Below are 12,404 nucleotides of genomic sequence, written 5' to 3'. Positions count from 1 at the left end.
ATTCTTCCTATCCATGAGCATGGAATGTTTTTCCATTTGTTTGTGTAATCTCTGATTTCTTTGAGCAGTGTTTCATAATTCTCATTGTAGAGATCTTTCAGCTCCCTGGTTAGCTGTATTCCTAGGTATTTTATTCTTTTTGTGGCAATTGTGAATGGGAAAACATTCCTGATTTGGCTTTTGTCTTGTCTGTTGTTGGTATATAAGAATGCTAGTGATTTCTGTACTTGATTCTGTATCCTGAGACCTTGCTGAAGTTGTTTTATCAGCTGAAGGAGGTTTTAGGCTAAGACTCTGGGATTTTCTAGATATAAAAATCCTGTCATCAGCAAACAAAAATAGTTTGACTTCCTCTCTTCCTATTTGGATGCCCTTTATTTCTTTCTCTTGCCTGATTGCCCTGGCCAAAACTTCTATGTTGAAGAGGAGTGGTGAAAGAGGGCATCATTGTCTTCTGCCAGTTTTCAAAGTGATTGCTTCCTGCTTTTGCTCATTCAGTGTGATATTGGCTAAGGGTTTGTCATAGATGGCTCTTATTATTTTGAGGTATGTTATTTTAATACCTAGTTTATTGAGAGTTTTTAACATGAGATTTTACTTTTGTTGAAAGCCTTTTCTGCATCTATTGAAATGACCATGTGGTGTTTTTATTTCTGTTTATGTGATGAATCATGTTTACTGATTTCCATATGTTGAATCAACCTTGCATCCCAGGGATAAAGCCTACTTGATCATGATGGATTATCTTTTTGATGTGCTGCTGGATTCAGTTTGCAAGTAGTTTGTTGAGGATTTTTGCTTCAGTGTTCATAAAGGATATTGGCCTGAAGTTTTTTTTGTTGTTGTTGTTGTGTCTCTACCAGGTTTTGGTATCAGAATAATGCCTCATAGAATGAGCTGGGGAGGAGTTTCTCCTCAGTTTTCTGGAATAGTTTCAGTAGGAATCGTACCAATATTTCTTCGTACATCTGGTAGAATTTGACTGTGAATTCACCTGGTCCTGAGCCTTTTTTGTTAGTAAGCTACTTACTACTGTTTCAATTTCAGTATTGGTCTGTTCAGGGATTCAATTTCTTCCTGGTTCAGCCTTGGGAGAGTGTATGTGTCCAGGAATTTATCTATTTCTTCTAGATTTTCTAGCTTATGTGCATAGAGGTGTTCATAGTGGTCTCTGATGATTATTTGTATTTCTGTGGAGTCAGTGGTAATAGTCCCTTTGTTATTTCTAAGTATGTTTATTTGGATCTTCTCTTTTTCTTCATTAGTCCAGCTAGTAGTCTATCTTATTAATTTTAAAAAAAACAGCTTCTGGATTCATTGATCTTTTGAATTTTTTTTGTGTCTCAATCTCATTCAGTTCAGCTCTGATTTTGGTTATTTCTTGTCTTCTGCTAGTTTGGGGTTGGTTAGCTCTTGCTTCTCTAGTTCTTTTAGTTGTAATGTTAGGTTATTAATTTAAGATATTTCTAACTTTTGATGTGGGCATTTAGTACTATAAGTTTTCTTCTTAACACTGCCTTAGCTGTGTCCTGGATATTCTAGTATGTTGTATCTTTGGTCTCATTAATTTCAAAAAAACTTCTTGATTTTTGCCTTAATTTCATTATTTATCCAAAAGTCATTCAGGAGCAGGTTGTTAAATTTCCATGTAATTGTATAGTCTTGAGCAATTTTCTTATTCTTAATTTCTAGTTTTATTGTGCCATTGTCCAAGAGGGTAGTTAGCATAATTTCAGTTCCTTTGCATTTGCTGAGGACTGTTTTATGTCCAATTGTGTGGTCAATTTTAGAGTATGTGCCACGTGGCAAGGAGAAGAATGTATATTCTCTTGTTTTTTGAGTACAGAGTTCTGTAGATTTCTATCAAATCTGTTTGGTCCAGTGTTGAGTTCAGGTCCTGAATATCTTTGGTAATTTTCTGCTTCTATGATCTAATACTGTCAGTAGGGTATTGAAGTCTCCCACTATTATTGTGTGGGAATCTAAGTCTCTTTGAAGGTCTCTAAGAATTTGCTTTATGAATCTGGGTGCTCCTGTGTTGGGTGCAGATATATTTAGGATAGTTAGCTTTTCTTGTTGGATTTAACCCTTTACCATTATACAATGATCTTCTTTGTCTTTTTTAAAAACTTTTTTTTGGTTTTAAATCCATATTTTTTCTAAAATTAAGATTGCAACCCCTGCTTTTTTCTGTTTTCCATTTGCTTTGTAGATTTTTCTTCATCCCTTGATTTTGAGCCTATGGATGTCACTGCATATGAGATAGGTCTCTTGAAGACAACATACCATTGGGTCTTGCTTCTTTATCCAGTTTACCATGCTGTGCCTTTTAATTGGGGCATTTAGCCTGATTACATTCAGGGTTAATATTGATATGTGTGAATTTGATTCTGTCACCATGGTGTTAGGTGGTTATCATGCCAACTTGTTTGTGTGGTTGCTTTAAAATGTCACTGGTCTGTGTAGTTAAGTGTGTTTTGGTAGTGCCTGGTAATAGTCTTTCCTTTCCATATTAGTGCTTCTTTGAGAAGCTCTTGTAAGGAAGATCTGGTAGTAACAAATTCCCTCAGCATTTGCTTGTCTGAAAAGGATCTTATTTCTCCTTTGCTTATGAAGCTTAGTTTAGCCAGATATGAAATTCTTGGTTGGAATGTGGATCATGAGGTCAGGAGATCAAGACCATCCTGGCTAACACGGTGAAACCCCATCTCTACTAAAAATACAAAAAATTAGCCAGGTGTGGTGGTGGGCACCTGTAGTTCCAGCTACTCAGGAGGCTGAGGCAGGAGAATGGCGTGAACCCAGGAGGCAGAGCTTGCAGTGAGCCAAGATCGTGCCACTGCACTCCAGCCTGGGTGACAGAGCGAGACTCCATCTCAAAAAAAAAAAAAAAAAAAAAAAAAAAAAAAAAAAAAAGAATCTTGAATAAAGGCCCTCAATTTCTTCTGGCTTGTAAGATTTCTGCTGAGAGGTCCATTGTTAGTCTGATGGGCATCCCTTCATAAGTGACCTGCCCTTTCTCTCTAGCTGTCTTTAGCATTTTTTTCTTTCATGTGACAGTGGAGAACCTGATGATTATGTGTCTTGGGGATGCTTCTTGTGAAGTATTTTGCAGCAACAGTTCTCTGCATTTTCTGAATTTAAATGTTGGCCTCTCAAGCTAGGTTGGAGAAGTTCTCATAAATGATATCCTAAAATATATTTTTCAAGTTGCTTCCATTTTCTGCATCTCTTTCAGGAACACCAATGAGTCATAGATTTGGTCTCTTTACATAATCCCACATTTCTCAGAGGTTTTGTTCATTCCTTTTCATTCTTTTTTATTTTATCTTGTCTGTTTTATTTCAGAAAGCCATTCTTCAAGTTCTGAGATTCCTTCCTCAGCTTGGTCTGTACTGCTGTTAATACTTGCAATTGCATTATGAAATTCTTGCAGTGTGTTTTTCAGCTCCATCAGGTCATTTACATTCTTTTCTATACTGACTATTTTGTCTGTCAGCTCCTGTATCATTTTATTGAGATTCTTATCTTCCTTAGAATGGGTTTAAATGTTTTCCTTTATCTCAATTATCTTCATTCCTTACCATATTCTAAATTCTATTTCTGTCATTTCAGCCATCTCAACCTGGTTAAAAACCCTTGCTGAAGAATTAATGTGGTCATTAGAAGGAAGCAAGACACTCTGGCTTTTTGAGTTGTCAGAATTCTTGTGCTGGTTATTTCTCATATTTGTGGGCTCACGTTTCTTCAATCTTTGAAGTTGCTGACCTTTAGATGGTTTTTTTAATTTTCTTTTATTTGATGACCTTGAGGATTTGATTGTAGGTTCAGTTGACTGGCTTCATTTCTGGAAGATTTTAGGTGGGCAAGGCTCAGCAGGTGACTCCTGGACTATGTGCTCTAATTCTGGGGGACTTATATAGAGCCCTGGCTTTGTTCTCTGGCTCCTGGAGATTAGAAGCCTGCTGTACTGGAGGGCCTGAGGTATTGACAGACCACTGGGCACAACACTGCAATGAGTGGTGTCAGCTAAAGCACTTTGTAGGGCAGTGGCAGTGGGATTTGTCCTCGTTTGTAAATAACAGCAGCAGTGGCAATGGCAGTGTGGTGGGGTACACATATATCAGCTGCAGCAGGGTGCTGGCAGGCACTGGGGTGCCAGCCTCTTTGCAGGTGTTCACAGCAACAGTGGAAGCAGTACAGCTTGGGGGGACAGGGCATCCCTTCTGGCAACTGTGCACACTTTTGCGCTGGTTGTGGTGTTAGCAGGGGGGCAGGGTGCTGGTGGGAATAGGACTGTGTGTGCCCTCTGTGCATTCATGCTGGTGGTGATGGATACTCAGGTTGGGGGCAAGTCTGCTGTTTTTGTGCCTAGTTTCATGCCAGGAGCAGTGTCAGTGCAGGGGTGGGGCACTGGTGGGGCTGGCAGGCTCTGTGTCTGTCAATGCTCCAGTGACAATGGCAGGAAGGTGGTATGTTAGTCAGGGTTCTCTAAAGAGAGACAGACAGACAGACAGACAGACAGAGAGGAGTTTATTAAGTATTAACTCACATGATCACAAGGTCCCACAATAGGCCATCTGCAGGCTGAGAAGCAAGGAGAGCCAGTCTGAGTGCCAAACCTGAAGAGCTTGCAGTTCAGTGTTCAAGGGCAGGAAGCATCCAGCATGGGAGAAAGATGTAGGTTGGGAGGCTAGGCCAGTCCCTCTTTTCACATTTTTCTGCGTACTTATGTTCTAGCCATGCTGGTAGCTGATAAGATGGTGCCCACCCAGATTGTGGGTGGGTCTGCCTTTCCCAGCCCACTGACTCAAATGTTAATTTCCTTTGGCAACACCCTCACAGACACACCCAGGATCAATACTTTCTATCCTTCAATCCAATCAAGTTGACACTCAGTATTAACCATCCCAGGTGGGTTGAATGGGAACAGGGCACACTCACACCAGCAGCAGTGACACAGCAGGGTGTACATGGACATGTACTGGCAGAGAAAGAAGGCAAGGTCCACCCAGGCATGCATGTGCCGGCAAAGCAATGGGCGTGGCTGGCCGTGGGTGAACGTGTTCAGGCAAAGCACCATGGGGAAGTGCGGTGGGGGGTGGGCACAGGTGGGCTGATGTGTGTCCAGTGGGTGCAGCTCTGCTGGAGTACTCTGCCGGTCATGGGTGGTCCTCCAGTGCAACAGCTATGACACGGGCCCCCAGGGGGTGCCTGGGGGCTCCAATTCAAGCAGACACAGCCAAGCTTCTGGGCCCCGGAGAGGCCAGCAGGCCAAGGGGTGCTCAGGTGGGACTGGCCCCATCTCATGGGCAAGACCACTCTGCAGAATTCAGGTCCAACAGTTATCCTAAGGGCTAAAGTCTCCTTTGGGAGCCAGTAGAACTGAGGGGCATGGGCATCCCTGGCTGTGCTCCACTATAGACACTCCCACACCAAACCCTCTGGGCTCTGCACTGGCTGGAGTTCTGGCCCTACCACTTTTCAAAGCAGCTCTCCCCACCACCCCCTGTGGTCATCAAGAGGTCTCCTCCTGCCGGGATTCCAGAGGCCTGTGGAGAGGGTGGGTTGCTCCTTGCCTGTTCAACTCACCCTTTTGGCAGGAATCACTGGGGGCCAGGAATGACAACCAATGTATGATAGCCCCGTGCAGCATTTCCAGCTTCCTCCTGCTTCAGCCCAGCATTTGCGTCTTCCCTCTGTCCACTCTCGATGCCTTCCCTCTGAAGATCTGCTAGGAGTGTGCCAGTCTTCCCAATGTTCTGGTCCCTCTGCGGGAGATGTTCCTCCTGGCTGCACCTAGTTGGCCATCTTAGAGCAGGAACGAGCCTTTCTTTTAACCTAATATATATATATAATATATATATAATAAAAATATATATTATATATATTATTAAATATATATATATATATATATTTTTTTTTTAGAGATGGAGTTTTGCTCTTGTCACCCAGGCTGGAGTGCAGTGGCGCGATCTCAGCTTACTGCAAACTCTACCTCCTGGGTTCAAGCAATTCTCTGCCTCAGCCTCCCGAGTAGCTGGGTTACAGGCACCCGCCATCACGCCCAGCTAATTTTTGTATTTTTAGTAGAGATGGGGTTTCACCATGTTGGCCAGGCTGGTCTTGAACTTCTGACCCCATGATCCACCTGCCTCAACCTCCCAAAGTGCTGGGATGACAAGCGTGAGCCACCACGCCCAGCCGACTTAATATATGTTTTTACTACATGTTCACTTATTATAAGATTTCTGTTCTCTGATAGACTCCTTGAGGATAGAAACTATGTTTATCTTACTGATTCCTTTAGGGTAAGCTTCTAGCAAAGTGCCTGGCACATAGTAGGTGCTCAATAAGTATTAATATTAGTTTGACAGATAATTCCTTTGCAAAACCAATCATAGAATTAGTGTGTAACCAAATGTGGTCAAAGTCCACAGACATAGGCAATAAATTTTAAATTCATTATTAATTAATTTTTAAATTGTCTGAATTTTTGCTGAAGTGTGTATTAATTATATTTATATAATAGAAACATTTTTTAAACTTTTTACCATTCTCTGTGTTATAAAAGTAGTTAAAAAATGAGAGTACAATAAATCCTTGGTTGTATTAGGGCACTGCTTTAAAAATGTGCTCTGCTAGATATGTTAAGGTACAAAGTGACTATTTAGAAAACTTGATTATTAGAAACAATTTCTAATTGAAAGCAAAGAGATAATGCTTCTTTGCAATATAAAAACATATGCTTTCTGCCCTTTCACTCCAGATTCGTAATGATATACAGAGTCTCTCTCCTCCTGGTGGGTCTGCTTTCAGAAAGAGCTTGAACTCTCTTCTTCATAAGCCACCTTGGTGCACCTGAAGGGCTGGGAACATCTTAAATCAGAATTCAAAAGGCTGGAGGAATTGCACGATAAATGTACAAACAAAACCCGGTGGGCCTAGATTTGTTACAGTCTCCCCATTTCCTCCACCCCACGTAAAATTTTGTGGTTCTTGTAAACGAGCTGCCTCACCTCAACTCATTTTGTTCTTAAGCCTCCCTTATCTATCCCCCCTCCCTTTACCTACCCACACCCACATAGACACACACACTCGCACAACTTCTGATTCCCAGACATATCAGAAACTGTTCTGCTTTGTAAGTGATTCTTTAATGCCTGGTTCCAGCCTCATGAATAGAACTAATAGCTAAATTTCCTAAATCTTTCTACCAGGAGCCAGATCCCTTTCTAGAGACTCAGTCCCTGAAACCTCCTCCAAGAGGCAACCCCCACCAATTCCAGCTTTAGAATTGCCGCATGTACAGGACATGAGCCCTCTCATTATGGAATTGTGCTTAGAAGGCTTTCAACCTATATATTTCCTTAGATTTTCTGACCTAAATTACAGAGAAGAAATAATTTCTTTTCTTAAACTCCTGAGTGACAAGATACATTTTGTATTAGGAGATTAATCAATATTCATTTAAGAATTAATTAGCCTATAACAGCTAACATTTCTTAAAAGCTTACTATGTACTGAATGGCTTATAGAAATTGTCATATATAACCCCCACTACATGCCTGTGTATTACTATTATCCCTATTTAGCACATTATTATTTAACAAACCTTGGCATAGGGTGATTGAGTAACTTGCCCAAGGTCACACAGCTAGGAATTGGCAAAGTTGGGATTCAAACCGAGACCTTTGGACTCGGGCCCATGACCCTAACCACATCCAAAAGAATGAATGAAAAGTACATTTAGCCACACTGTCCCATACCTGGATCCTCACTTCTATGACATCCTGGATTGACCTCCCACCCTCCAGAAAGATCACCTCAACTCAGCAAAGAAGTCTTTTGTGATGGAGAGTACATCCCCACGTTTCTAATCCAAGGTCTAGAACTTATATCAAAGGTGAAACTGGCCTCTCACATTGTTTTCTGCGTTGGACAGAAGTGGAAAATAACAGATGATTGTCAGCACATACTTGAAAGCAAATGCCATATACTTCCAGGACACATCCAAAAATCTTACAATGTTTAGTTGTTTTCGTCTGTGTGTGAGTCTGAATACACAGTATTATATTTCAGTGAGCCTCTTGCTATAGGATGTACCTGATCTCTAATGCCCACTCTCTTCCCAGCATAACCAGTCCTGATACCATCCTAATAGCATTCCTAGTATAAAAGTCCATGGGCCCTGTGGGAGCCTACAATAGGCAGGTAACCAGGTCCTGAAGACCCAGGCATGAGTGTCCCTCATTCATGTGGGACTTTCTCATGGGAATCCATCTCTTACTCTTCTCTGCTGCACCAAAGCCTGATTATTCTTCCCTTTCCCTGTTGCCCTTTGCCCACCCTTCTTCTCCTTTTTTTCTTGCAATCTAAGGGTCAGATTATTACGAGGTTTTGTAGTTTTGTCATAAAAATGTGATTCAAATTTGCTTCAAGAGCTGGCTAATTGTTTTCATAAAATAACTTAATCCACATCCTTTTCAGATTCTAAATCAGAAAATAAATCATAAGCCATTTTCAGATAAAAGGCAAAATCTAAGCTGCCAGGACTGTCACCCATAGAGATTTGTGTGTCGCCACTTGGTTTAGTGGAAAAAGCTCAGGGCTAGAAATTCAAATGCTGGTTCTTCTGCCTGCCAGTAAATGACATTAACCTAAGCCTCAGTTTCCTCTGAGTAAAATGAGCATAAAAGCCACATCACAGAGTGATGTCGAGGATTAAATGGGACTGAAAGAAAAAAATCTCTTTAAGTGCTCCTATCACACAGTGCCACATAAGCACCACAGGAGAAGGAGCTGTTAGTACTTATGTGTTCTAAATCCTTTAAAAAAATTATCAGATTTGGAGAATAGTTAAACTACATATTGTACAAGATTTAGTAGCCCTTCAAAAGTTTCAAAGATTTTGTTTAATTTATAAGAAAAGTTTGTTTTTATATAATCTCTTTTTAGGATTTCATTTTAGGTGAAATGTGGTAGTCTCATGCAAAGCACCTAGTAAAGGTTTAAATAATTTTGTAAGCTTTTTGTAATTATATTAGCTTTTTGTATTTTCTAACTTATTAATAGAGGGAAATAGAAGTACATTCTTTTGATTGCTGAAGAAGAGAAACTTTTTCAATAAAATTATCAAGAAAATAGCCAATTTCCTCTTTTCTAGGATATCCATTTTTATTGAATGATCCCAGTGCTTAGTCAAGCCATAAATGGATATTTTACTGAATTTGAGCCTCAGCTGCTTTAGGGAGCCAGTCTGCAATCTCGAATCTCAACCAAGAGGTCATTTGATCTTAGAGCTGCTTGTGTGTGATTATTTTCAACCTATTAGAATGCTCTTTTACTTAGAAATTAAATTATCTTTTTTTATGTTTTAATCCATATTCACCATCATTCCTCCCAATCTCCTAGTTCCCCTAAAACTCTCTTATCCCCCATTCCTACCAAACTATAAAATGGAATGTAGTAATTTGTGAACATGAAGATGCCTAACGTTTACTTTCCCATCCTACACGGTTGCCAGTATTTAACATTCCACTATTAGCCTTTTTTTAATTTGTAAGATTCAAAGTTCCGTGAGTGCAGAGACAATATCAGCTTCTAATGCTACCGTACATATACGGCATGCTTACCACAGTGCTTCACACTCAGTAGGTGCTCAATGAAGGTTTGCTGAATGAAGGGAAAGCTTTTAGCCTTCTTTCATTTAATCACGCAGATACCTTCAGAAACACAGAGTCTGCAGATCCATCAAATGTACCTTAACTGACTCAAAGTATTTAAATGCCACCATGTACCACAACCGTGCTATCTCCTTCCCATAATGCACTTAGCAGCTACGATGAAATTTGTTTTTCTGATGCTTTTCTGATAGCAGGTTTCACATGCAGGGAGGGAGAGGATGTGTGTGGGACATGGGACATCTTGGGAGGGAGAACCATACAAGGGAAAACCAAGAATAAGAACAGCTTTCTTTTACCAAGTCTTAACTAGGTGGCAGAACTATCTCATTTGACATTCATGCCAGCATTTTGAGGTTATTTCCATTTGTCAGATAAGGAAACTAAGGCTTATGGATGTTAAGGAACCCTCAAGGTCATACAGCTAATAGGTGGCAAGGCTATACTTTGAAATGGTTTTCTGACCCCAGATCCTTGTCTCCGGCCACAGTGCTTCTGGTGTTTACTTCCCCCAAGGGACAGAGGGCTCCCTAGACAAGGTGAAATGGGGGTAGAAGCACGGAAGAGTGTGAACTGCTGGTGCCATGAGACCAGAACCTCATCCACCGCATAACGCTGTTCAGAGCAGGCTCTGTTCAGGCAGAGAGGTAATTAATAGTCACAGAGTTTAATTATCCAGTTTCACTCTTTCTAACTAAAAGTCATTTGGGATCTACTGAGGATATTAGACAACATGTTCACTCTTAGGGGCTCATAACTATACTGTGGAATTCATGCAGGAAATAGCACAGGTCCTGAGATTTAGAACTATTTTGGCAAATACATATTAGCTATAATATGAGAACTACGTGACCCCCACCTTTGAGGTTAACTCCGCTGCTTACTTCAGTGGTTTCCTAGTTTTCTAAGAAAGCAACGGACAAATGCTGGAACGCTATCTGTGTGTAGGGTAGCACTCACAAGATGTCCCACGCTGTCCACATAGGTGCTGAGGCTTTAAACCAGGCCAAAAAATGACTGCATTAAGAAGTGGACGCCAGAAGCAGAGAGGCCTTTCTGCCTAGTGAGATGCAGACATACTGAGACGTGAAGCCAGCTAGGCTTCTGGGTCTGGTGGGGACTTGGAGAACTTTTCTGTCTAGCTAGAGGATTGTAAACACACCAATCAGCACTCTGTGTCTAGCTAAAGGTTTGTAAATGCACCAATCAGCACTCTGTAAAAACGCACCAATCAGTGCTCTGTGTCTAGCTAAAGGTTTGTAAATGCGCCAATCAGCACTCTAAAAATGCACCAACCAGTGCTCTGTGTCTAGCTAAAGGTTTGTAAATGCACCAATCACCACTCTGTAAAAACGCACCAATCAGTGCTCTGTGTCTAGCTAAAGGTTTGTAAATGCACCAATCAGCACTCTGTAAAAATGCACCAACCAGTGCTCTGTGTCTAGCTAAAGGTTTGTAAACACACCAATCAGCACTTTGTAAAAACGGACCAATCAGCACTCTGTAAAATGGACCAATCAGCACTCTGTAAAATGGGCCAATCATCAGGATGTGGGTGGGGCCAAATAAGGGAATAAACACTGGCCACCCAAGTCAGCTGCGGAAACCCACTTGGGTCCCATTCTACCTGTGGAAGCTTTGTTCTTTTGCTCTTCACAATAAATCTTGCTGCTGCTCATTCTTTGGGTACGCACAACCTTTATGAGCTGTAAAACTCACCGCGAGGGTCTGAGGCTTCATTCCTGAAGTCAGCGAGACCACAAACCCACCGGGAGGAACAAACAAGTCTGGACATGCCACCTTTAAGAGCTGTAACACTCACTGCGAAGGTCTGCGGCTTCACTCCTGAAATCAGCGAGACCACGAACCCACTGGAAGGAAGAAACTCCAGACATGTCTGAACATCTGAAGGAACAAACTCTGGACACACCATCTTTAAGAACTGTAACACACACTTCAAGGGTCCATGGCTTTATTCTTGAAGTCAGCGAGACCAGGAACCCACCGGAAGGAATAAATTTCAGACACAATACCAGGCATGGTTAATGCACCAGTGGAGCTCATCCCAGGAGTTGGTTTGCATGAAAGTTTGAGTCTGAAGAACCAGAAAAAGGGAGTAGGCTTTTAGAGGAAGAGAAATAGACAGAATAACGTGGTATGTGCCGTGGGTTCTAGTTCCTCATCTCAGCCCCATGGATTCATTTCTGGCTCTGTAGAGAAAGGCAGAAAGAAAGTGTTTTCCTGAGGAACTCTGTGAGACAGAAGCCACACTGTTTGGGGCCTAGAGACAAAGTGTGACAGCTGGGAGGAAGAACTGGTCTCCCCGTGTCCGGTTGGACACAGCGGCATTCTCACTTTGAGGGCTCTAGGGAAAGCCTCTCTGCCCTCACACCCTGATGACTGGCTGCTTGAAGGGCCTCGAGGGGGCTCCATCCCAGGCAAGGGCATCAGTGCCCACAGGTGGGGAGTGGCATTGGGATGATGGTACTATTCAATGCCCTCAAAGGTGGCTGAAATAAACAGAGAAGCTGTAACAAAATCATATGAGGATATAGGGCGCGGAGTGAGCTCCCTTTAGATGCCTTTAAGACCCTCTGCAAATAAATAGGTGAGACTCCAGTGTTACTACAGATCCTGTGTTTGGAGGTAGTTGAAAGTGTTAGACACCTTGAATGATTACTCAAAATGTGACTCACAAAGGCTTGTATTGTCAGGAAAAAG

At 41.7% G+C, this 12,404-nt stretch overlaps 2 annotated features.

The window, feature by feature from the left end:
* Nucleotides 5,238–5,822: an enhancer, noted in NCBI's record as "H3K4me1 hESC enhancer chr7:92657799-92658383 (GRCh37/hg19 assembly coordinates)". NCBI's record gives its function as "activates a minimal SCP1, AML or CMV promoter by ChIP-STARR-seq in primed H9 embryonic stem cells {active_cell/tissue: H9 hESC(primed)}" and the evidence as "EXISTENCE:reporter gene assay evidence [ECO:0000049][PMID:30033119]".
* Nucleotides 10,836–12,035: an enhancer, noted in NCBI's record as "BRD4-independent group 4 enhancer chr7:92651586-92652785 (GRCh37/hg19 assembly coordinates)". NCBI's record gives its function as "activates an origin of replication core promoter dependent on BRD2, P300/CBP, MED14 and CDK7 cofactors, and independent of BRD4, by STARR-seq in HCT116 cells {active_cell/tissue: HCT116}" and the evidence as "EXISTENCE:reporter gene assay evidence [ECO:0000049][PMID:35650434]".

This window comes from Homo sapiens, chromosome 7 (genome assembly GCF_000001405.40).
Source record: "Homo sapiens chromosome 7, GRCh38.p14 Primary Assembly".
Lineage (NCBI taxonomy): Eukaryota > Metazoa > Chordata > Mammalia > Primates > Hominidae > Homo > Homo sapiens.
Note: the sequence above shows the minus strand (reverse complement) of the source record. Positions and strands in the feature narration are given on the sequence as shown.